General features: G+C 35.4%; 1 protein-coding gene and 1 long non-coding RNA gene across 13 annotated transcripts in view; one reads left to right on the top strand and one right to left on the bottom strand.

Moving 5' to 3' along the window:
• The window catches only part of EPHA5 (EPH receptor A5), a 350,923-nt gene extending 349,926 nt beyond the window's left edge, over positions 1 to 997 (bottom strand). For all 12 annotated transcript variants that reach the window (NM_001437320.1, NM_001437321.1, NM_001437313.1 and 9 more), the window contains exon 1: positions 70 to 997. In NM_001437320.1, the coding sequence (NP_001424249.1) occupies positions 70 to 250 (181 nt within the window). In that variant the 5' untranslated portion in view covers positions 251 to 997. The remainder of the gene's footprint in view (positions 1 to 69) is intronic.
• EPHA5-AS1 (EPHA5 antisense RNA 1) lies at positions 469 to 23,894 on the top strand. The gene is made up of 4 exons (NR_034138.1): positions 469 to 1,181; positions 2,284 to 2,389; positions 11,776 to 11,855; positions 23,617 to 23,894. It is a non-coding gene; the product is annotated as an EPHA5 antisense RNA 1 (long non-coding RNA).
• The last annotated feature ends 1,917 nt before the right edge of the window (positions 23,895 to 25,811 follow it).

The raw sequence follows: 25,811 nt of genomic DNA on the forward strand, positions 1-25,811 counted from the left end.
CCTGAACTCCCAGGCCCCGCCTAGCCCCTCCGCCCCAGGTCGCCACGGTCCCCACCCCCATCTCCCTACCTTCGTTGCTGGGGCTGGCCAGGAGGGTCCGGAGTGCGGCGCACAGGAGAAGGCACGTCCAGAGGGGAGCCCGTCGAGGTGCAGAGTAGCAGCCGGCCAGGGACGCTGGGGTGATGGGGGTGTCGCCGCCGCCGCTTGGGGGCCGCCGGCGTCCCGCACCCCGGGGCCCCGAGCCCCGCATCTTCTCCGAGCCTCCTCCGGTGCCGCTGTCCCGAGCGGCTCAGTCCACCGCTTCGGCCTCGCAGAGCGGCGAAGGGAGACTCGGGAGTCCTCCTTGTCCCCCCTTGGGGTCCTACGCCTTCTGGCACGCGGCTCCTCCAAATGTAGGAACCACGGATCCGGCTGAGACAGCTGAAGTTTGCTTCTGGCTCCTCTCGCCTCCCCCTTTGGTGGGGTTAAATGAAATATTAGTTCTGGTTGCTAGTGCAGATCTGGACTCGGATCAAGGGTGTCGAGAGGGTCCTGGGTCCTGTTCCTTTGCCTTTCAAAAAGACTTTTTACGGATTGAGAATTTTTAAATACCACTAGGGGAAAGGTGAAGGTTCTTTGCAGCCTTCAGTGTTGAAATGGACGAAGGTAAGGAAGGCAAATCATTTTAAGACGAAATCTCCGATTTTTTAAAAAAGGAGGAAAAAAGCAGGGTGGCTAAGGATAAAGAAAGAGGACTTGAGAAAATGTGGAGAATGAAAAACAGGAGAGCAGCGAGCAAAAGCAAAGATCCAGAGTTCAAAGAGACTGGCAGAAGGAAATAGCTGCGGGCTGAGTGCTGAAGAGGGGAGGGACTGACGGCTGCCGGCCGGTAGGAGCGCGGAGCTGCGCTGCGGCGGCCCAGGAGCTGCTGCGGTTCCCGCTGCTCGGGGAGCAGGCGGTGTGTGCGCGGCTGCGAAGTCGAGGTTGAAACTGCACCGCCAAGGCGCGCTCCTGCTGTGTCTGGAGCTCCGGCGTCTCCTCTGCCTCCCAGCTCAGCGCCTCCCACCCTCCTTCCCTCCTCCTCTTCCCAGCTCCCCCGCCCTCTGCTGCTCGCAGCCTCGCCAGTGAGAATCTACTGTAAGTGTGAGTTGCTTCGACGAAGTCACACACCCACGGAGGGAAGTAATCTGGAGGCTGCCTTGGTGAGTGTTGCCTAGCGGTCTCCGGGAAAGGCGCGTCTTCCTCCCGGGATAATTAGGGCAAGGAATCCTGACGACGCTGGCGAGGACTGGGGTTCCCGGGAGGCGGAAGGGAGATCAGCCCCAGCTCAGCCGGCGGCCCTTAGAGACGCGGGTCCCTCCGTTTGGCATCTTGCCTGCTGTCCCTCACAGGCTGTGGCATCAACAACCTTGTCGTCACATCGCCGCGCATTCGCAGGCTCTGCTGGTCCGTGGCTAGTTTCTTAAACACCCATACCGCTTACCGCTGCTGACTCTTTCTGTTCTTCCCATACTTTGATGGCTGGAATAGGATAATTACTCAATGTTTTCTTCAGAAGTAAATTGTAGAGTAAATAAAGAGGCGGTAGCTCTGTTTGAGATTTCAAGGAGTCAAAGAATTTGACTATTGAGATTTGTAGTGTGCCAGGTACTTTCATAGGTGGCGATTTAATTCATTTATTTCATTGATAAAATGTTTTAGTATTTTAGAAATTGGACGATATGCAGATACACGACATACATTCCAGTGAAATTAGCCTCGGTCAAATAAATTCAGGGTTTTGAAAAATTAATTATTTTAATTGATTGTGCCCTATAGCATTGGGAGATTTACAAACAGTGAAAAAAAAAACAGTTAAAACAATCAACTTTCTATGCTTCACCTCTATTATGTCTTTTCTTGCTTTAGTATATTCCCTCGATTTATTCATTCTTTCAAAGAGATACATTTGAAGGACAATTTTAGTACACAGGCATTTAAAAACAAAAGGCTGCAGAGAAAGCACTTACAGAAAGGTCTGATTATAGAAGAAAGATATCTCATTTAATTTCATGTATAGTAACCACTGTAAAGCTTGGGCTTCCGTTCACACCTAATAAAGGTGAGTCAGCTCACCAGTTTTGACATATCTAGAGCCTTGTTTGTCTCCACAATAAATTCCTCACTATCTTTAGCTGGTGACATTTGTTTTTTGTTTAAATATTTGCAATAAAGATGAAAGAATAAAGCAGCAGTGATGCAATTTTGTAAAGAGGTGAAAGCTCATCTTTGATTTCTTTTTTTCCTGAAATGTTTTGGCACCAGAAGTCTGAAAGCAGGTTCTTTTTATTATAATGTGCTCCGAATGGATGAAGCAAATTTAGAGGAAGAGCAGTGAATCAGTTTCTCAGTTTGGCAAAAAGCCTCACGGGTGAGATGGAAAGTTAAAATTTATGTTTCTATTTGAGGACCATTCAAAATGTAAGCTCCCCTCTCCCCTACAATTATAATTGAGTTACTTAAAAATATTTAAGCAGAATACCAACTACGATATCTAAAGCCCAGAAATATGTAGTAAAACTAATATGAGTTTAATGGGGCTTTGAGCTCGTTCCTTTACTTCTACAGGCTTCAGTATCCTCATCAGTAAAATGAGGAATTTGGAGAAGACAATCTTCAAGCCTTCTTCCCTTCCGTTGGTTGCATGTCTATGTGACTACCCTGTTCATCTATCTCCAATTATTTACTATTGGCCACAAAATAACCAAATTTTTCAGCCTAGAATTTAAAGCCTTCTACTACAAATGGTTTAAATATATTTTTTATTCTATACTACAATGTTAAACTCATTTTTCCCCTAAATTACCTCATGCCTCTCTGATTTTTCTACCTGTCATTCCATTCTAAAGAAATCCCACCTCTGGAAATATTTATCCGCCCCCCACCTCACCCCACCACAACACACACACACACACACACACACACACACACACACACTACTGTCATCTAAATCATACCCAGTGTCCTAGGAGAGCCAGGCACTCAAGATTAAATTCTTCTTTTCTCAACAAAAAAGTTACTTCGTTCTCCTCCTCAAAGTACTCATAGCTTTACATAAATCAACACAATGCCAATATTTTCTGAATCAAAGGTGGAATAAAATTGTCTAACTATATCTAAAGAGAAGAAAGACAGAATTTAAATCTGGTTTGTCAAAGAAAACCTGGGACGCTGGTCAGCATGGGCATAATTGTGTTATCTTCTCCCAACATAGCTAAGTTACATGATTGAGAATACAGAAAGCAAAATTCTTTGTATTCTCCACCTTAAATTGCAGCCATCTTTCTCATAGTTCTTTAATAATATTGATTACACATCTCTGAAAGAATGAACAGCTGTAAAGTTCATTGAAGCTGTAAAGTTCATGAAGTTCTGATGACAACAATGAAAATCATTTTTTGATCTAAGGAGGGTTAATCAGAAAAGGTAATGATGGTGGTTTGACTTGGACTTCAAGCTCAAAGGAGATTCACATTTGGCCACGTGTTGATGTCTTGGCATATTAATACTTTTTATTTTAACACAATTACATTGAACCATGGCATTGCATGAAAACTAGATTTGGTTTATATTTTTCTTTTATACTTATTGTTTTGCACAACAAAAGGCCATGCCATCAATATTGGTTTTGGTGCCCTATTGTTTGCATTTCTCATTTCTTGGAATAGCTACTATGACCTTAAAAGATGCAAGTGGTTAGTGTCTCCCAAGATCTGTGCTTTTGTGTGACTTCAGTACTAAGTATTCCTGAAGGAAGGATATTCAAAGTAACCTTGATAAGGTGCCTTGAAAGTTTACTAACCTCATAAAAAGTTTTAATATTATAGTTAGGTTCAGTGTATCAATAAGCCCAAATGTATCTTCCCTGCATTCAAAGATTCAAGAAAAGCAATTTTGACAGAAAGCCTTGCTAGTTTTTCCTGAAGATTTGCTATGTGTAAAGCATTATGTGACGTTTTTACCTTAACTATTTTACTTAATGCTGACACTTCAACCCTGATGTTGGTGTAATTATTATCCCCATGTTAATGATGAGAAAACTGAGGAAATGAGATTAGGTGATCCAAGTAGTCTCACAGCTGGTAAGACACGGAAACTTTCACCCATGGGATTGAGTCTATTGGAGAAAAGTCCTACATAACAGAAGTAAAGAATAAATTTGATAGCCAGGTTGATCAGAAAAAGAGAACTACCCCAAAATTCTGCATGAATGGGAGCAATGAATACATGAAAATATTTTAATTTTCAGGTTTAAGTCTAAAAGCGATTTTCCAAATAGGTAGTATAGGTCAGATAAATGAATAGGAGAAAACAAGAAATGAAGGATCATAAGCAAGCATTACTTAAAGAAAAATACTGTTTCGTGTACATAAAAACATGCACACGATTTGTTTGTGTACAATGAAGACAATGGACCAAATCAAGGAAATAACAAGATTGACGTCTGTGGTCAGATAATAGTAGCTCAACACATGGCACACAGCCCCTTTAAACCATGGTAAAAAATATAAGCAACAGTCTTTACTAAAACAATTTAAATAAAACTCCATAAACTCAAGAACATTTTTCCTCATATAATTGTAGCAATTTTTTACAAATCAGTTTTAAATATTTTTGTCACTTAGCTAGATTCTTTCTTTGGGGGAATTTGGTGAAAAATACAAGCAAAGCAAAATTTTAACCCATGGTAGATTTTAGATGAGAAATTATATGATACCCTAATGAAACGATAAGATACCCTAAAGAAGTTAAGTTTTCAGATTCATAATTTTATAAAGAGGATAGATGTACAGTGATATTAATTATTTTGATCTCAAAGGTAAATATTGACTAAAATATATTTAAGCAATCAATAACTCTTGAAGTTCACAACATAGATAATATTGTAATGTATCCATAATTGTGTGTATTATGTCTTAAGTTAATGAACATAAAACATCAAATATTTTTTGTTTAGTGTTATTTCTTAAGCATTTTTTTCCTGAAGTCCTAGAATCTCTTCTTTTTGCTAATGACTCACATTTCTACCTATTAATGTGAAGTTAAATTATTTTTAAATTTAACAAGTTATCAGATGCGTGTTCAATTAAAAAATGCATTAATACCATTTTAATAAATTAATGAGGATATAAATATAGAAAGTATTTTATAACTTAACAATACATGAAATGCTTACTTATCAGAAATTTCACTTATTAAAGATGTCCATATCACAATCAGCACTCTTTTTATCTCTTTTCTATCAATATTGAGAACAGAATAAAGTTGTCACACTGTTCGTGATTATTAATAGGAAGTTATGTAGCAAAGAAGAAAGAATAAGATGTTCAGATGAATTACAGTGAGCCGAAGAGACATGGTGATTGTTGATGGTGGTGGTTTCTTCTTTAATCATTCTTTCATCAATGTGCTAGGATTGCAGATGTTGCAGCATAGCATGAGGCCAAGGCTACTAGAGTTTATGATGAGCCAAATTGACTTGCCAGGAAATTCTTTGGTTATTGTTTGCATCCAGCATCTTGGATAACTGGCATCAGATGAAGTTGTGAATGCTGGGATAATACGGACTTTTGGGACTGAAAAAGTAGGAAATGTGTGGACATAAGAGTCAGAAAATTGAAATAACACTACTGTTAGAGTTAAAATTCTACCTATTCTAACCTGTTTTCTGGACTCCAAAAGTATTTGCAAATATGTGAAAAATAAGCTGTAATATTTTTCACATTCAGAGAACTGTTTATTAATCTCAGTTGATATGTGACTTGAAATTGATAGCTAATCTACTCCTACAAAAACATATTTTATAAAATAATTGCTATAATTTGCTAGGGGAAAACTGATCAATTTTTTTCAATAGCATAAATAATAAAGGGGTACATATGCAACTAGGATTTTTTTATTTATTTATTTTTTTGAGACAGAGTCTCCCTCTGTTGCCCAGGCTAGAGTGTATAGAGTGCAATGGCTGGATCATAGCTCACTGCAGCCTGGAACTCCTGGCCTGCAGTGATACTCCTATGTCAGCCTCCCACGTAGCCAGGAATACAGCCTCCCTAGTAGCCGGGAGTCCAGCCCAGGCTTTTGATACCACTGTTCATTGTCTATTGAACAAGCTTCCAGCTAAAAGTTAGCAGTGATAAACTCATGTACTCTGATATGCTGTTCGTGGGATGTTAATCTGAAACATCTTTATTATCGTTGTTTTAAAATAACATCAAGTGCTTTTAAGGTATGCATAGTTTCAGATCTAGCAATTACATTTTTTATATTGTGAGTAAATTAAAATGGGCCAAAAGATTAAACATAGTGGTATTTTTAACTGATAAAAACCAGAAGTGTTCTAATCTTTAATACGAAATGGTTAATATATTATAGTATATTTATATAATAGAATATTATGGGATCATTTTAAAAATTTTATTTATTTATTTATTTATTTATTGAGACAGACACTCTGTCACCAGGCTGGAGTGCAGTAGTGCAATCAGAGCTCACTGTAACCTTGAACTCCTGGGCTGGCACTACAGGCTTGCAGTACTATACCTGGCTAATTTTTTTAAATTTTTTATAGAGATGGGTATCTCACTTTGTCCAGGCAGGTCTTGAACTCCTGGCCTCAAACCATCCTCCCACCTCAGCCTCCCAAAAGACTGAGATTACAGGCGTGAGCCACAAAGCCCAGGAGGACCATTTAAATATGAGAATATATATATATATAATACTTTCACTTTGATATTTAAAGCTATCTTTACATATATATAAAGATATATAAAGAGAGATATATATAAATATATACAAATATATATATTTTATATATATATTTATATATAAATTTATAAATAAACATATGTATATAAATATATATATGTGTGTGTGTGTGTGTGTGTGTGTGTGTATATATATATACACACACACATATATATATATAAAGCCTGGCTAATAAAAGCAAACTTTTTTAAGTTTGAAGAGCTATATCCCATTATTCACATTTGTATATGACTGGTGGGATAAATTGAATTTATTTTTATATTTTTAATTTTTGCATTTTCAATAATTAGCATTTATAACATATAACAATAGAAAAACATGAGTAAAAATAAAAACATCCTAAGCCAGGCTCAGTGGCCCATGCCTGTAATCACAGCACTTTGGGAGGCTGAGGCAGGTGGATCACCTGAGGTCAGGAGTTCAAGACTAGCCTGGCCAACTTGGTAAAACCTCATCTCTACCAAAAATACAAAAACTAGCTGGGTGTGGTTGTAGACACCTGTAATCCTGGCTCCTCAGGAGGCTGAGTCAGGAGAATCGCTTGAACCCAGGAGGCAGAGGTCACAGTGAAATAAGATTTTGCCACTGCATTCCAGCCTGGGTGACAGAGCAAGACTCTGTCTTGAAAAACAAAAACAAAAACAAATCTTAGATGAAAATGTATATGCAGTCATCAATACACACACACAAACACACACACACACACAAGAGAGAGAGAGAGAACAGGGAAGAAAAAAATAAAAAGGTGGAAGAGAAGGAGAGACAGAAGAGAGTACAAAGATGGTAATAATTAGTAACTTTATATTACCAAAAAATAGTAAAGAAAAATTACTTTTTTTTTTTTTTTTTTTTTTTTTGAGACGGAGTCTCGCTCTGTCGCCCAGGCTGGAGTGCAGTGGCGCGATCTCGGCTCACTGCAAGCTCCGCCTCCCAGGTTCACGCCATTCTCCTGCCTCAGCCTCCCGAGTAGCTGGGACTACAGGCGCCCGCTACCACACCCGGCTAATTTTTTGTATTTTTAGTAGAGACGGGGTTTCACCGTGTTAGCCAGGATGGTCTCGATCTCCTGACCTCGTGATCCTCCCGCCTCGGCCTCCCAAAATGCTGGGATTACAGGCGTGAGCCACTGCGCCCGGCCTAAAAATTACTTTAATTACCCTCTTGCCCCTATTATAAAAAGAGTTAGGTACAATACTTATTTGACTTAATCATTTTCTGTCCACAGAAAATGTATCCACAACATTTACAAGTCTTCCAAAATTCCTAGGATGCATGATTTCTGTTGTGTACCTCATGTTTCAATGCATTTTCCCACTAAATTTTCCAGCACACTAACTTTATTGACTGTAGTTCTAATTCCATTTTCTTTCCACACTGGTTTACCTCATAATTGGTAACATTCCTCTTCTTCGCTATCATATGTGTAGGTTATGAATAGTTAATTTTCTTGAAATATGTGAAAAGAGGAGAAGACTATATCACAGAATTAGTAAAAATTGAAATTTCACTTCCTAAAGTTTTATGGTGTGAGATTGGTGTGGTTTGGCTATGTCCCCACCCAAATCTCACCTTGAATTGTAGTAATCTCCGTGTCTCAAGGATAGGGCCAGGTGGAGATAATTGAATCATGGAGGTGGTTTCCCCCATACTATTCTCATTGTAGTGAATAAGTCTCACGAGATCTGATAGATCTATAAATGGGAGTTCACCTGCACAAGCTCTCTTGCTTGCTGCCATGTGAGATTTGACTTTGCTCCTCATTTGTCTTCAGCCATGATTGTGAGGCCTCCCAAACCATGTGGAAGTGTAAGTCAATTAAACCTCTTTCCTTTATAAATTCCTTTATGTTTTTATTAGTGGGGTAAAAACTGACTAATATAGTAAATTGGTACCAGGGGTGTGGTGCTTCTGTAAAGATACCCAAAAATGTTGAAGCGCCTCTGGAACTGGGTAACAGGCAGAGAGGTTGGAACAGTTGGAGGGCTCAGAAGAAGACAGGAAGATGGAATGTTTATAACTTCCTAGAGACTTGTTGAATGGCTTTGACAAAAATGCTGATAGTGATATTGACAATAAAGTCCGGGATGAGGTGGTCTCAGATGGAGAAGGGGAACTTGTTGGGAACTGGAGCAAACATGACTCTTGCTAAGTTTAAGCAAAGAGACTGGCAGCATTTTGCCCCTGCCCTAGAGATTTGTGGAACTTTGAACTTGTGAGATGATTTAGAGCATCTAGTGGAAGAAATTTCTAAGCAGCAAAGCAGTCCAGAGGTGACTTGGGTACTGTTAAAAGCATTCAGTTTTATGTATTCACAAATATATGATTTGGAATTGGAACTTATGTTTAAAAGGGAAGCAGAACATAAAAGTTCAGAATATTTGCAGTCTGTTGATGTGATAGAAAAGAAAAACCCATTTTCTGAGAGAAATTCAAGCCAGCTGCAGAAATTTACGTAAGTAATGAGGAGTCAAATGTTAATCACCAAGACATTCGCCTCTAACAGGGCATGTTAGAGGTCTTCATGGAAGCCCCTCATATCACAAGCTGGGAGGCCAAGGAGGAAAAAATAATTTTGTGTGCTGGACCCAAGGGCTTGCTGTTTTCTGCAGTCTCTGGAGTTGGTCCCTGCATCCCAGCCATGGCTAAAAGAGGCCAACCTAGAGCTCAGGTCCCTGCTTCAGATGATGCAAGCCCCAAGCCTTGGCAGCTTACATGTGGTGTTGGGCCTGCAGGTGCAGAGAGGTCAAGAGTTGAGGTTTGGGAACCTCTGACAAGATTTCAGAGGATGTATGGAAACACTTGGATGTCTAGGAAGAGGTGTGCTACACGGGGGAAGCCCTCATGGAGAACCTCTGCTAGGGCAGTGCAGAAGGGAAATGTGGGTATGAATCCCCATACAAAACCCCCACTGGGGCACTGCCTAGTTGAACTGAAAGAAGGGGGCCTCCATCCTCCAGATCCCAGAATGGTAGATACATTGACAGCTTGCACTGTGTTCCTGGAAAAGCTGCAGACACTCAATGCCAACCTGTTAAAGCATCCAGGAGGGGGGCTGTACCCTGCAAAGCCACAGGGGTAGAGTAACCCAAGACCCTGGGAACTCACCTCTTGCATCAGTGTGATCTGGATATGAGACATGAAGTCAAAGGAGATCATTTTGGAGCTTTTATGATTTGACTGCCCCACTGGATTTTGAACTTGCATGGGGCCTGATGCCCCTTTGTTCTGTCCAATTTCTCCCATTTGGAAGAGTTATATTTACCCAATGCCTGTACCCCCATTGTATCTAGGAAACAACTAACTTGCTTTTCACTTTACAAGCTCATAAGTGAAAGGGACTTTCCTTGTCTCAGATGAGACTTTGGAATGTGCACTTTTGACTTAATGCTGAAATTAGTTAACACTTTTGGGGACTGTTGGGAAAACATGATTGGTTTTGAAATGTGAGGACATGAGATTTGGGAGGAGCCAGGGGTGGAATGATGTGATTTGTCTGTGTCCCCACCCAAATCTCACCTTCAATTGTAATAATCTCCACCTGTCAATGGTGGGGCCAGGTGGAGATAATTGAATCATGGGGGTGGTTTCCCTTATACTGTTCTTGTGGTAGTGAATAAGTCTCATGAGATCTGATGGTTTTATAAATGGGAGTTTCCTTGCAAAAGCTCTCTTGACTTCCTGTCACCATGTAAGAACTCACTTTACTCCTCATTCAACTTCCACCAATATTGTGAGGCTTCCCCAGTCATGTGGAACTGTGAGAAAATTAAACCTCTTTCCTCTATGAATTACCCAGTCTCAGGTATGTATTAGCAGCATGAGAACAGACTAAGAAAATGTCACAGAGAATTTTTTTTTCATCAAATGGTTTTCTAATGTCCATTTTCCTGGCTTTTTTCGTCTTTGAAAACCATTTTCTATCTTCCTCTTCCTCAAGCACCTAAACTCTTATCTTCTCAACTGAGAAGAATATTTATTTCCCAAAGCATTGTCTTTGGTTAAACCCTTCTCTGCCTGATTAAGTCCCATGAGATCTGATGATTTTATAAACAAGAGTTCCCCTACCCAAGCTCACTCTTCTCTTTGCCTGCCGCCATTCATGTAAGATGTGACTTGCTCCTCCTTGCCTTCTGCCATGATTGTGAGGCCTCCCCAGCCATGTGGAACTGTAAGTCCATTAAACCTCTTTTTCTTCCCAGTATTGGATATGTCTTTATCAGCAGCATGAAAATAGACTAATATATTGCCCAATCTCTCTCATGGAGACTCTGCCCACAGATCCTCAACAATCATAATTCAAAAAAATCCATAAGAAACTTTCTTTATTCATACTGACCCAAAAATGAAACTGGCCCCTGAAATAATACTTTTTCCCTTCCTTTCCTACTTGTTAAATTTATAAAATTATATACAAACACAGAAAGCTATGTGGATAGAAGAAATACATAATTTTCGTAAAGTGATAAAAGGATGTGAGGCAAATATAAAAATGTAAGTGATGGTTTGTAGTAAAACTGGTTGATTCCATCAAAGATACTATCAGTTCTTTATGTTTGATAATTAAAAATGTATTTAATCATCAGTGCTGATGACCACTGTGGGGGAAGTACATGACTTAATAAAGGGCTTAAACGTGAATCATAAATCACAAACCAAAGTCATGGTTTGAAATCCATCAATAGTTCTTATTGTTAATTCTGAACTTGGTTATTAGATGACAATTACTAAATTATGAAAATGATGGTGTATGAGTTATTTTATAAAAACATATTTAAAAATTAACTAAATTTTCCACAAAACAAAAACCTAGGAAAAAAATCTTCCTTTTTTACCTTTACAAAACATATTCCTAGTATTATTTGCATTGTAATTTCAAATTTCATTTTATGTTTATGAAAAATAATCAAAGAGAGCAAAGGGCAGAATGGAAATACTCCCTTCAATATTTAAAAAAAGGAAAAAAAAACACTTTTGAATCCTTTTTCATAGGCATGTACAGGAAGCCTTCCTGCAGACATCCACAGTGAACAAGTCTAAGGACAATAGCTTTCGTTGGCCCCCAATAGAAGGTGAGAAGAAGTAAACATTAGTAACCTCAAAACAATTAGATTCCACAAAGTAAACGTTTGCAATATTGCATTTTCTCTTAATGTTTTGCCTATCAGAATTATTTTACATCAAGTGATTTTTTTTGTAAACATTTTGTTTTGAGATAATTATAGATTAGCTGGATGTTGCAAAGAAATGTATAAAGAAGTCCCATGTACACTTTCTCAAATTTCCCTCAATGTTATCATAATACACATTTATAATTAAAAATCAAAACCAAGAAATTGACATTGGCACATTTTACAGAGCCTATTCAGATTTCACATATTATAAAGTGCTCATGTGTAAGTGTGAATGTGTGTGTGTGTGTGTGTGTGTACCTGAATCTATGTAATTTTATTTCATGGGTACCCTTGTGTAACCATCAGGAAACTCAGGATACCCAACTGTACCATTACTACAATATTCCCTCATGTTATCTCTTTATACCCACACATCCACTGCCCACTATCCCTAGCACCTAGAGATCACTAACCAATTTCCATTTCTATTGTTATGCTGTTTCACAAATGTTACATAAATGGAATGATGTAGTTTGTATCCTTTTGAAATTGGCTTTTTCATTCAGTATAGTTTGTGTGAGGTTCATCCAAGTTATTTGTAAGTCAATAATAGCTCATTCTTTTTTATTGCTAATTAGTATTCCATAGAATGAATGTACCACAGCATATTTAACCATTCACTCATTTAAGGACATTTGGGTAGTTTCCAGCTTTGGGCTGTTACAAATAAAACTGCTATGAACATTTGTGTACAAGTTTCTTTGTGAAAATAAGTCTTCATATCTGTGACATAAATGCCCAAGAGTGCAACTGTTAGGCTGTATGGTAAGTCATTTTCACCATCAATTTTTGATGATATGTGGTTATAGCCATGCCCATTGCACCCTCAACTTATCAAACAAGAACAAGATGAATTGGATCCAATAATATAATAAATTTCCTTCAAAAGAAAATATTAGAACACACAAAAATATTCAATATATACAAAAAAACAGTGAAATGAAATAGCCAATAGAATATTAAATAAATAAAAGAGGAAAATTCAAATATCAAATGAATATCCTCATATATAAATGATGTAACATATTTCTATATTTAAACTTTAAGCATCCTAAGAGTAGAGAAATAATTATCTTAATGAAGTAGTAACCACACAACTTTTACTTAATTGATTTATTCAAAATATGTTCTTCAATCTTATTCTATCTCTTTAAAAATTGTTCCACACTCCTAACACTTATATTCCAGTATTTGAATGAGTAACTCATATCACTTGGTCCCAAATTGACATTTCAAAAGATGTGTTCAAATACATTTGCAGAGATATTTTTGAGTTCATTCAAGCCGAGCAGTACTTCTTATCTTTTGAAATGTCAGGTAGCTGGTCTAAAGAAAATGGAAACAGATCGCTTTTTAAAGATCATCACACATGTGGGCATAGGATTGTGACTTGGTTTGTACAAGCATACTGTGGGGAAATATATTTATTTGTGTGCAAAGTGTTTATTTTATGGAAAAAAAGAAAAAGCACTTGCAAAATAAAAATCAGCCATCTTAATTATTTCATATTATGAGTTTTACTTGAAGTCCTCTTATATCTTCCCCTTTTAGATGTGTTCATGGCTTTTAGTTTATTATCATGAAGTAATATTATTATACTATGAAAACCCAAGAACCTTATTACCTAGATAAAATATTTTAATCAGGTTTTTGAAACCTAAATTTGACAATAAAATATTAAAAACAAAACACTTCCAAAGATTAATATGAAAACATCAGTGTATTCTTAATCCCACATGAATAAATACTAAATTTATATTTGTTTAAAATCATTAAAATGTACTGATTACTTTTTGCTTTATATATAGTGGATTGAATCCATTTTAGATGGCCCCTGAAAATTTACTAAAGTTATTAACAAGAATATTTTTAAAACAAACACATTCAGCACTACAAACGGCAAAAGAACAGGAAAAGAGAAGACAGAAAAATATTTTGGAAGCTGAACAGCAAATGAATGAGTGGTAAATAATCTAATAGACCAAGAAAGTTAAATCTTAAATCAACAGGTAGGAAGACTAAATAGCAACCTGACTTTTTCCACAAGAAACCTCTGAAATGTGTGGTATTAGGTAACCCTGATAGTGGAATAATGGGATGAAAACAGAGTTTCGTTGAAAGTGTGTTTCAAAAGTATCCTGTTTCCAGATTCTGGTCACTAATCTGGTCACTTAACTAACTAGATTGCCTACTGCCTTACCCCATTCAAAACTGCAGTTTTATTCACTAAGAAAAGTAATACAGAAAGCTCTGTTCTAGTTTATATCAGGCAGAATGAAGATAAGAATAGCTTCATAAATATCATATGCTATATTAATTGCCTGTTGCTGTAAAACAAATTATCCCAACACTTATTTGCTAAAAACAACATTTATTATTCACAATTTCTGTAGATGTAGAAACTGGGCTCAGCATGGATGAGTTCTGTGGCTCATGGTTTCTCACAGGCTGAAATCAAGTTGTTGGATGGAACTGTAGTCATCTCAAGGCCCAACTTCAATTCATTAGAAGCAAGGCCTTGGGTCAGCCAGAATATAATAATATCAGAAGGTGAGATTATGGTGGACATCTTAGAAAGTGTGTCTCTACCACGCATGGCCTTTGTTCACTGAACTACAGAATTGCCAAGAATATTTTTAAAACAAACACATTCAACATTACAAAGGGCAAGAGAACAGGAAAAAAGAAAATCCCTACTCAGCTTTGAAGTCATGAGATGGCCATAAAAATGGAAGAGTACAAGAAAAGGGCCTTTGAAAATTAAATATATATGATTGAAGTGAAAAAATAAAACACTTAACTGTACTTTTAGAAAATTAAACAATGAGGCAAAAACCTGAGAACAAAGGAATGTAAGAAATTCAGAGGACTGGTAAAATGGCCAAAATATTAGAAGTATTATTATTCTAAAATAATTCCAGAAATGCAAGAAATAAAACTGTCAAATAATTGAAATAAAACATCTAAAAATGAAGGGCTCAAGCTTGCATAAAGAAAGCCAATACCCCATACCAAGTGATCAGGAAAATTGGTAAAAATAAACTTACCCAAAGGCACATGGACATGATATTTCAGAACAATAATGAAAAAGAGAAGACGCTATTAGTTTCCAGAAAGAGAGAGACAAACATAACAAAATAAAGAAAGAAATGTGGAAAGAGTCAGAATCAGTAACACTTTACAGCAAGACTGGAAAATAGACCACAATGGAGCAATGTCTTCAAAATGCAGAAAAAAAAAATAGTTTAAACCTTGACTCTTTCATCCAGATGAATTATCAACACGTATGGAGATTGAATTCATTTATATTCTTAGTATTGCTCATTCAGCCTTTTTTAGGAAGGTACTGGTTGATATGCTGTATCAAAACATGAGTGTAAATCAAGAAGTAACAACACATTGGATTCAGAAAATGTATATGCAGCACTGAGATAAAAGAGAACAGAATTCTTAGAATATTGTCAAGGATGATCCCAAGATGAGATATGTACCTCACGCATGGAATGCAACCAACCAGTCCTAATTGAACAGATCAGAGGCTATTGGAGATATTTCTATAAAAGGATAAAATTGATGGAATGCCTGGTACATATTAATGCGAGGAGAAACATCTAAGATCATTGGCAGATAATTTGGGGTTATTTTAGTGATAAGTGGAAAGAACCAGACAATTATTCAGGAAAAACAATATTTTAAGGAAATGACAAGCAATCATAAGTTAGATCTTGACTCACCTATCAATAGCATTCACATGGTAATAATGTGAATAGTTAATGTAGATGCAATAAAACTTTTGATAAGTAGGAGTGATGGAAAGACGGGAATGAATGGTTGTAGAGGGAAATGAAAGAAAATCAAGTTCTTATTTTTATTATTGCAAATTCAACAGATAATATATAAAATTGTAAGAAATAGAGATGCTAACATATGTATATAGTATTTAGAGATAGTGTTATATGCACAGATAATCAGCTAAAATGTTTGAAATTGTTGATTTTGGATATTTCTTTCAAAGTTAGGAACAATGAATCACTGTCTCAAAAACCATATAGAATTGTGTGATTCTTATATGCATGTATAACATTGATAAAATTAAAACTAAAACAAAAATAATATGGTTTGTGTGTTTTTTTAATATTTTGCAAATGCTTAACATATTATATGTAACATTCTTCAATTTGGTTTTTATATCTCAGCATTATATTTCCAGCTTCTATACATGTGAATAAATGTGTATATCTTTTGGTTATTTGTGTAGTTTTACACTATTCTGATCATACAGATTGATGCACAATTTAGTGATCCATTTTTTTTTTACTGTTGAATTGAAGGATTGTAAATAGGGACATTTTAATCTTAACTAAATATTGCCAAGTTGTTTCCTAAAATGCTTATAAACCTTTCAGTGGAAATATTTCAAGTTTGGCAAAAGATAAATATTGTTGCCCTTCCCTTCCCAAAGCAGGAAGTAGTTCAGCTTTGACAAATGTTTCTCAGTAAACTTTTCATTTACTTTATTGTTAAATTTTGATAGTGTCTTTTCTCTAAGGAGTATATGGGGTTTCATGTTTTTTCTATGCAACAATTAATGCAGGAGGACAGTGAAGCAAAGTCAATAGATTTTGTAGAAAAATAATTGTAATTCAAAAATGTTATTCTTAGCAAACATATGGTTCATATGTGTAGAAAACATCCAGAGCCATGCATAACTTCAAAAGTACAAAACCCTAATATATTTTCCTTTAAAAATTTCTGGAAGAATTGTTTTGTACCACAAAGAGATGAATGAAATATCAACTAAGGAAGGCTATTCAACAGGTAAAAACTAATATAAATGTATGAAAGCTCTAACTTATGTGGGGAGGGATAGGATGTTAGTGGATATAAATAACTGTTGTAATTATAACTCCAAAATAGAATGTTTAAGTCTAAACAATCTGGACAGACAAATTTATTTCTTTATGAAATTTATAACCTGAAGATATATTAAATATGAACTAAGAAAAATGCTGGGAAAGTAATATAAGGAAAACGAGTAAAAGAGTGTAAAAATAGTTTAATTTTAATATTAATGTAACCCATCTTTTTTAAATGAACATGTCAAAATATTTAAGTACTTGAATTGAAATCAGGACCCTATTTTAAAAATTACAGAAGAAAATAAGTCAGCAAAACAAAAGATGTAACAAAAACGAATCAAAAAAAACATAAAATTAAACTATACATTGGACCAAATACAATGTTATGGAAATAAATATAAACGATTAAATTCCTTGATTAAAAGTTAAGATACTCATGTCCTTTGTAGCGACATGGATGAAGCTGGAAGTCATCATTCTCAGCAAATGAACACAAGAACAGAAAACCAAACACTGCATGTTCTCACTCATAAGTGGGAGTTGAAGAGTGAGAACACACGGACACAGGGAGGGGAACATCACACACCAGGGCATGTCGCAGGATTGGGGGCAAGGGGAGAGACAGCATGAGGACAAAGACCTAATGCATGCAGGGCTTAAAAACTAGATGACGGGTTGACAGGTGCAGCAAACCACCATGGCACATGTGTATCTACGTAACAAACCTGCGCATTCTGCACATGTATCCCAGAACTTAAAAAAAAAAAAAAAAGTTAAGATACTCAAGCTGAGTAACAGGGAAAAGCTATTTAGTATTGTTGGTTCATGCATGATCTCACCCAGAAAATGACCTTTCAAACAAAACCTGATGGATAGAAAATTTTTTAATTATTTAGATAATATTTGAAGGGATAGAGAGAAAAATACATGAATGTGTCAACAATGAGATAAAATGAAATATCCTTTGACTTCTCTGTCTGTGGAGTTTCTTCTCATTTTTCAATGATCTGCTCAAATATAACTTCTTATTTAAGTATTTACCAATAGGCCACAATCTTAAAGACTGAATTGTCAGGGGCAGGGGAGATGTTCGTCAAAGGGTACAAGGTTTCAGTTACACAGGATAAATAAGTTTGGCACTGTGAGTATAGTTAATAATAATGTATTATGTACTTGGAAATTGCTAAGAGAGTAGGTCTTAAATGTTCTCCCCACAAAAAAATAAGAAATATGTGCTGAGGATTATGTTAATTAGCTTTATTTAACCATTGCACAATGCATACATATCAAAACATCCTATTGAACACCATGAATATATACAATTTTTGTCAATTATATCTTAATAAAAAATGAATGAATGACTCTCTACTCTTGTGTATTTTTATTACTTCCAAGGGAACAGTTGGACTTGGTGGTTCCAATGATCTTCCTTTACTTCATGAAGTCTTTAGTGGCAGAAAATTTGTGCTAGTCATATTTGTTGACAGTGTCATTTCTAGAATAATCTGAAATGTGTTATGTATTCAAATCATATTTATGAATTGACCTGAAATGATTTTAATATTATCTGTCTCACAATTCATAAGCAGGTAACTTTTCATAAATTATCACACTTTGTAATTTTGTTATAACCACTCTATATTAGAATTATGACTAACTCATACACCCTTGAATGTGTTAGGAATATTTTCAAAGTCTAAGATCATGGTATATTAACTTGCAAAACACTGAAAATAAAATGGTGATTTTTAAAGTATTTTTGCATTTAGAAGACATACATATTTTTAGTCTAGCAACACAAAAATATATCAAAATTATTTATTTATATAAATACATACATTAATGCATTTTCCCCCATTTTCTGCTCTTTTCCACATTCTTACTAAACATTCTTTTACATGTTCTATTTTAGAACAGTAGCAAAATTGGGAAAGAAGACATAATTTGAGACAAACTGCTTCATATTTCTAGCATTACTTTAAGGAAATCATGGAAGTCGCTATAATATCAAGAATTAAATTTGGATCTAGGTTTATGTTGAGTTTTTTTCTCTTGAGTGGAATAGTTTTTTTCTTCCAGCTTAATGAAAAAGTTTTGATGGTATCCTAGGTGTCAATTTCATTTAGAAGTCTAAATTAAAAAACAAAAAACAAACCTTGTTTTAGTTATAAGTCATTTAAATCGGTTTCACTATTTTACTTAAGTAAAAAGCAGCTTTTAGTTAACATATTTTGGAGAGACATACATTAAATTTCTAATAAAACTGTATACCTATTTTACATATGTATAATTGGTATTCAAATTTGCACACAACTACTGCTAAAATTGCTATAATTGTGTTTGCAAGTGTGGCTGAGAAAGCTCAATGCCTGAGGAAGAGCCATTTTCACGATTTTTTACAATTCTTTCCTATAGCTTTTTATAGAACTGAATTGTCTTACTGTTTTCTAGTTAGTTTCAGCTTCCACCTTATAGTCCGGCGTGCTTACATCTTCCCTAACTTGGAAACTGCTAATTAGTGAAGACAAATCTATCTGTTTATTGCAGTTCTTTTCAGGTGTTTAGGTGTTCTAAGTTGTGTGAATTTTGCTTTGAGTTGTATTGCACTTTCTTTGTATCCTTTCTGTCTGTGTGCAGTTCTCAGATCTGAAATAAGGAACTCTATTGAAAGACATTTTAGGTGCCCACTGATTACATTGGAACACAATAATATTTCAAGTCATGGATCTTTTAGGAATTAAGTGTCTATAATTTGGTTTGCAGTGGAAGGAAAATATTCATTGTTCAATGTTCATTGACCTAAAGCATATAAATTAATGGCAATATTATTGCTAAACAGAATGCCTACCTAGCTCTATAGGACACACACATAAAATCTTTAATGCAAAATCTGTATTTGTGAATGAATTGATGAAGATATCTGTGGCCAGCTTGTGAAACTGGGAAAGATTTGTTTGTTTCTGCAGTCCTCTGCTTCTCTGCGGTAAGAATGCCTGCTTGAAACAAAAATGTGTTCAGTTCACAACTCAAATACTTCGGAAGTTCTGTTGGAATTTACATTGACTAGGAATGTTGCTGGGAAACCACTCATTCTAAAAGAAAATTGTGTCTAATTACATACTTTTTCCCAACATTTATGTTATGTTGTTTTACAAGTCACTTCCTTAATTATTTACAAATAAATTATTATGAAATTTATAATATCACCTATACTATTGATAGATGTAGGGCAGCATGATTATATTGTTACAAGCATCATTAATAGTACACTGTTCCCAAACCTCACTGATTCTTCTCTTTTCTCATTTAGTGTCTTATAAAGAGAGGATATAATGTGATAAATTTCCAGACAGGCAATTAGTGACCTACTGTTCTTTCTATCATATGGAAAAGTTAACACAACCTTTTTCTATAGACCTATTGCCCCACAGTTTTTTTTGATAACACACTCTATCAATCATTGAAATATTTTGGACAAATATTTCAACACGTTTATTTATTTATGAAATGTGTAATTCTGCTTCTTTACTTATGGATTATATACTTTGTAAACCATCACAAAATACAGATGAGTTAATGATTATTGAGAATTATTTTAATTAATATGTGCAATTATACTTCAAATGATCATTTTGATGACTTAGAAAAAATCTTGCTGACCTCTTATCCTTTCAATTTAGACTGTCATCGCTTTTGTCTTATAGTGTGGCCTATAAAAATAATGAATTTGGTTTATAAATATCAGTGCTACAAATTTTTGATGGTTGATTTTATGTGAATTATTAAATCTTATATTATTTTTAATACATGTTTATTTGGCAGAAATATTTGTAAGCAACTCGTATAGTTTGTGAGTTTGCTTAATTAAAACTATAAATCATAGTGTGTAAGTCCACTCAACTATGCACATGCAAACTTCAAGAAGTCACCAAATGCTTAGGAAAATAAAAGATTAAGTGTGACACTGTCAGTTTCTCCAGGATGTGGAGCTTCTACACTTTACACAAGACACATTGCATGCCATCTGTGACATGCTGACCACTCAAAAAGGGATGAAGCAGGGAACCTATGTCTGTATATTCAAACACTCCAAAGAATTTACAAATAGCCTCCTTAGACCAGTTGTCTTCTAACTGGAGTATACATACCCTGGGGTTATAAGATAAAAGCACAGATGGTTTTAAGGAAATTAATTTTCCAATCCTCACTTCTGTATATATTATAAGACTGATAAGGCTTCTGAATCAGGCAACTCCTTTCCTTTCTCTTTCTCAATTAAGATTATTCCCACTTTATACCAAAAAGGAATACTTCTCATCTATTCAATGGCTAATTACTTTGTATTGTGCCAAGCTGTAAATTTTTCCAGTGTTTTACACACACACACACACACACAATCATACACAGATGCACACAGGATAAACCAGATATTGATGTCAGAATTGGGAAAATGAATAATTCTGATGACTAGAAAACAAATGCTTTTTCAGGTGTTTTTTAAATCACACTTTTCAACAAAATTGAAGGAGAACCAAATTTAGTGATTTAATAATTTTATCAGAGACAGTTCATTAAATGTATTTTAATGGGAAATCAGCAACGATTTTTGGTACAAAACTCAGGGTTTAAGGATTCGGTTACATGCTTATCACAAATACTTTTGTTCTATCTATTTACTTATATGAATATAGATTCTTCATGCTCAGACCTATTTTTTCATAAAGAAATGGAATGGATGTTGCACTCTGCATTGTTCTCATGATAAATAAAATTCATCTATGGATACATGATAGAAGATCTTTGATCAACTGTATGTTACTTTTATGTGTAATAGGAAAGACATGTCAAGCTAGAATAACTTTTTAAAAACTCTTTACTTTTTACTATCTTATGCTCCTAGGAAATTTTAAAAAATGATTTTAAATTTAAACATATATTTTATATCATAGAGAAGCAATGAAAGAGTTTAAACAAAATATTTAAGTGTATTATATACAGTCATTTGAAAATCCTATGGAGGAATTGGGATTTAATTTTGATCTAAAGACAAAAACAAACATGTGCAACTCATGTATTTTAAATCTGTGGTGCTGTGTGTTGAGTGTCATTGATAGTTAGATCCCATTGGATGTGATTAAAGGACTGACATAATATGTCCACTTTTAAATACGAGTATTTAAAAGAAGCAAAATTTCAATGTCTTAGCCACTTTAAACTGTTACAATTTAATCATCAACCTGGAAACTTTTTGAGACCACTTATTTTATTCTGAATTCTTATGGTAGTATATAAGGAAAATGCATGCTTGTAAAAATCACTGCTTTAGATTAACATCATTAAAACATCAATCTATATTAGAACTTACTAATGATAAGATCAAATCAGGCGGGGCTTGGTGGCTCATGCCTGTAATCCCAGCACTTTGGGAGGCCGAGGCAGGCGGATCACGAGGTCAGGAGATCGAGACCATTCTGGCTAACATGGTGAAACCCCATCTCTACTAAAAATACAAAAAAATTAGCCGGGCGTGGTGGCAGGCGCCTGTAGTCCCAGCTACAGGAGGTTGAGGCAGGAGAATGGCGTGAACCCAGGAGGCAGAGCTTGCAGTGAGCCGAGATGGTGCCACTGCACTCCAGCCTGGATGACAGAGCGAGACTCCGTCTCAAAAAAAAAAAAAAAAAAATCATATTTTAACCATTACGTAAGTGTACTTGTATATTGTAATGGAGAGAGAGAGAGAGAGAAAGATAGCGTGTATGAATATGAGAGAATGACAGAAGATTTAAAACCAATAGTTATTTTACTGGAATAGGTTTAATTACTGGTATTCTTGAATGCAATCAACAGTAATTCTGTGTTGTGTTTTCTAGATTAGAAGAATTGCTGCTATCTAATGCATCATGTGTTTGAGAATAGACTTCTATGTCAAAGTAAATTTTTTAAAGTATAATTGCTTTATTATAATTACTATTACTGCTGCTATTACTATGATGAATTATGTTAGGGCACAGGAAATTTAACTAATTTTTCATGGGTCATTATACAGCACTGTCCATTGGTCACATTTGTAAGGCCATATGTGATTTTAACATCCTTTCTGGACTTAAAACTATTACATTATCTGGAAAGAATATTATTATATATTTAAAAATTCTGCTTTCATTGATGCTTCTAAATAGTTTCAGATACCAAATTGCTGTTTTCATAACATCTCTGCTTTAAATTGAAAAAAAAGACTTCTCAACTTAAGTTCTCTTTGCTTCTAGTTGGTAAGAAACAAAGTTTTTCAATAAACAAAAATTACACAGATGAATACACATATTGCATTTTAGAATGAAGACATAATGTAACAGCATTATTCACTTAGGGAACATAGAAAAAATAAGTGATTAAAATAATCCTATTATCCAAATGTCATGATCTACACTGATTTACTCTATGAAAGGATAGAAAATCAGAAAATTTAAAAATCAATTCAAAAGTTAATACATTAATAAAAGTAAGATCATTTTATTATACTTTGCCCCAATGATGTTCAAAATGTTATTTATAATAATGATGACTTTTTTGGTTATATTATAACAGAAATATTAAAATAAGAGAAATAGTGTCTATATTGTATATTTTATGTTTTCTTTGTGCCACTTATTTTGTATATGCTGTTCTTTTTAATATTTATAATATTTTGACTATATTTTCTTTGTGCTACTTATATCTAATGTGTGTGCATATCTCTGACTGTATTTTCTCTCTTTTTTGTTTGTTTGTTCCTGGTCACACAAATGGACTACGGTTGCCAGGCATTTTTAGTGATGTGTGGCCTCACCACTTAAATCCAGTTTATTGAATCTGAAGTGATTTGCTCCTCTTTCTGGACTACACAATAAACACCCTCCAACGTCCCCAGCCATGCTCTTCCCATCATTTGGCTGAAAGGGGAGGAATTCAAGGCCTTAGAGTGGGGAAGCTACAATTTGGAAGAATCCTGGAAGCACAGATTACCCTGTGAAGCAGCATCCCCATGAGGGTCTCTTTCTTCTGTGATATAAGCAAGAAATAAATGAATTGTGCAAATCCAGTGAGATTTAGTCATCTCTGTGTTAAATCAGTTAGCTACTCTGGCTCATACATCATCTTCTGGCTGCTTTTGACTCATAGCTTGGTTAAGATGAGGTTATCTAAGGTGTTCATCATTTCAAACCGTCCTTCTTAATATTGCCAAGATAATTTTTACGTCAAACAGCCATTTAATGGCAGCTTATTTCTAAATTATTCCTATCTTTCACAGTCTTAATATAGTTCACATTATGACCCTAACTCCATTGATATTTTATTTTTATTTTTATTATTTATTTATTATTTATCTATCTATTTTTGAGACAGTCTCACTCTATCATCCAGGCTGGAGTGCAATGGTGTGATCTCGGCTCACTGCATCCTTGGCCTCCTGAGTTTAAGTGATTCTCCTGCCTCAGCCTCCTAAGTAGCTGGGAATACAGGCACCTACCATCATGCCTGGTTAATTTTTGTATTTTTGTAGAGACAGGGTTCGCTATGTTTCCCAGGCTGGTCTCGAACTCCTGGGCCCAAGTGCTCTGCCTGCCTCGGCCTCCTAAAGTACTGGGATTAGAGGCATGAGATACCTCACCCAGCCACCCTTGATATTTTAATAAGTTTGTTTTATTTATTTTATTTTTCATGTTTATCTCATCATTGAGCCACTGCTTCTCTCTCTCTCTCTCTCTCTCAGCCTCCCCCCTGCCCCCCCCCTCCCCATACACACACAAATCTCAACATTCCTTCCAGATCATAGTAAAGTTCACATTCTCTCTAAGCCTTTACTGGCTATCTCCATCCTCTTTACATTTCCGGCCCTCTACATGAAGCCCCCATCTCATCTCCTACCATGTTGTCCCCTTCACATTGTCCTTCATGCTCTGTTTCCAACACACCAAGTTGTTTCCCTTAGGATGCCAGCACTTATTTACCCATTTTCTCAAGACGCTCTTAACCTAAAACCCCTTATAGTTTGCACTCTCATGTCATTCAAATTTCTTATTGCCATTTCTTGGAATTTCAATAGCCCTATTTTAAATAGTATTCCCACAGGCTGTTATGCTGCATCTCTTTATCGTGCTTTGCTTTTTTCTAGTGCTTACAACTATCTGATATTGGTATGTCTGTTTATTTAATTTTATGTTCCCTTCCGTAGAATGTAAATTCGCTCAGAGAAGGGGATTGGTCTGTTCTGCACTATGTGTTCACTGTCCAAAGCAGTTTCTGCCCTATAATTGGGGCTCAGTAAAAATCTGTTTAATAAACAGATGAATCAATAAGTGTACCCTTCTGAAAAACTATGTTAATGATGATGAAAACCAAAATCAAGAGTTTCAGATATTTTTCCTATTTGTTACCTCATTTGAGTCTGTTTCTCTCTCTCCCTCCTTCCCTATTTCTCCTTCACATATTACATTCTTTAAACATGTAGATAGTGAGGCTTAAAATTACCCTACCCTGTTAGAACATTGCAGTGGCAAAGGAAGAATCCATACATTTTTACTCCTGAGTATGATACCACGACAATATGCACACAACACCAGTTTGTAGATTCAGTCTTAAATATAATACCTAGTCATTACCTCTTAGTGTTTCACCAATATTTTAATATTTGATATTGTTATAACTAGATTATAAATATTTTAAAAGAAAAGATCATAGATTAGCATTATAGTAAGAGGTTGCATTTGCTCAAATAGTTCCATTGATTTACTTACCTATTGATTTTTGTTCAGAAAATAAATTCTAGTTTAATGTAGTATCATTTAAAGTCTTACTTTAAATGTAACATGGCTTCCTGCTTATATAGAATATATGTTCTACAAATAAAGTACTATTTTCTAGGCTTTTAAAAATAATAAACACATAATGAAATAATAGTAATGTCTTATGCTTGGTGGACAGCAATAACAACCATAAATCTCTTTTCTTGGCAATT

Source organism: Homo sapiens, chromosome 4 (genome assembly GCF_000001405.40).
Source record: "Homo sapiens chromosome 4, GRCh38.p14 Primary Assembly".
NCBI lineage: Eukaryota > Metazoa > Chordata > Mammalia > Primates > Hominidae > Homo > Homo sapiens.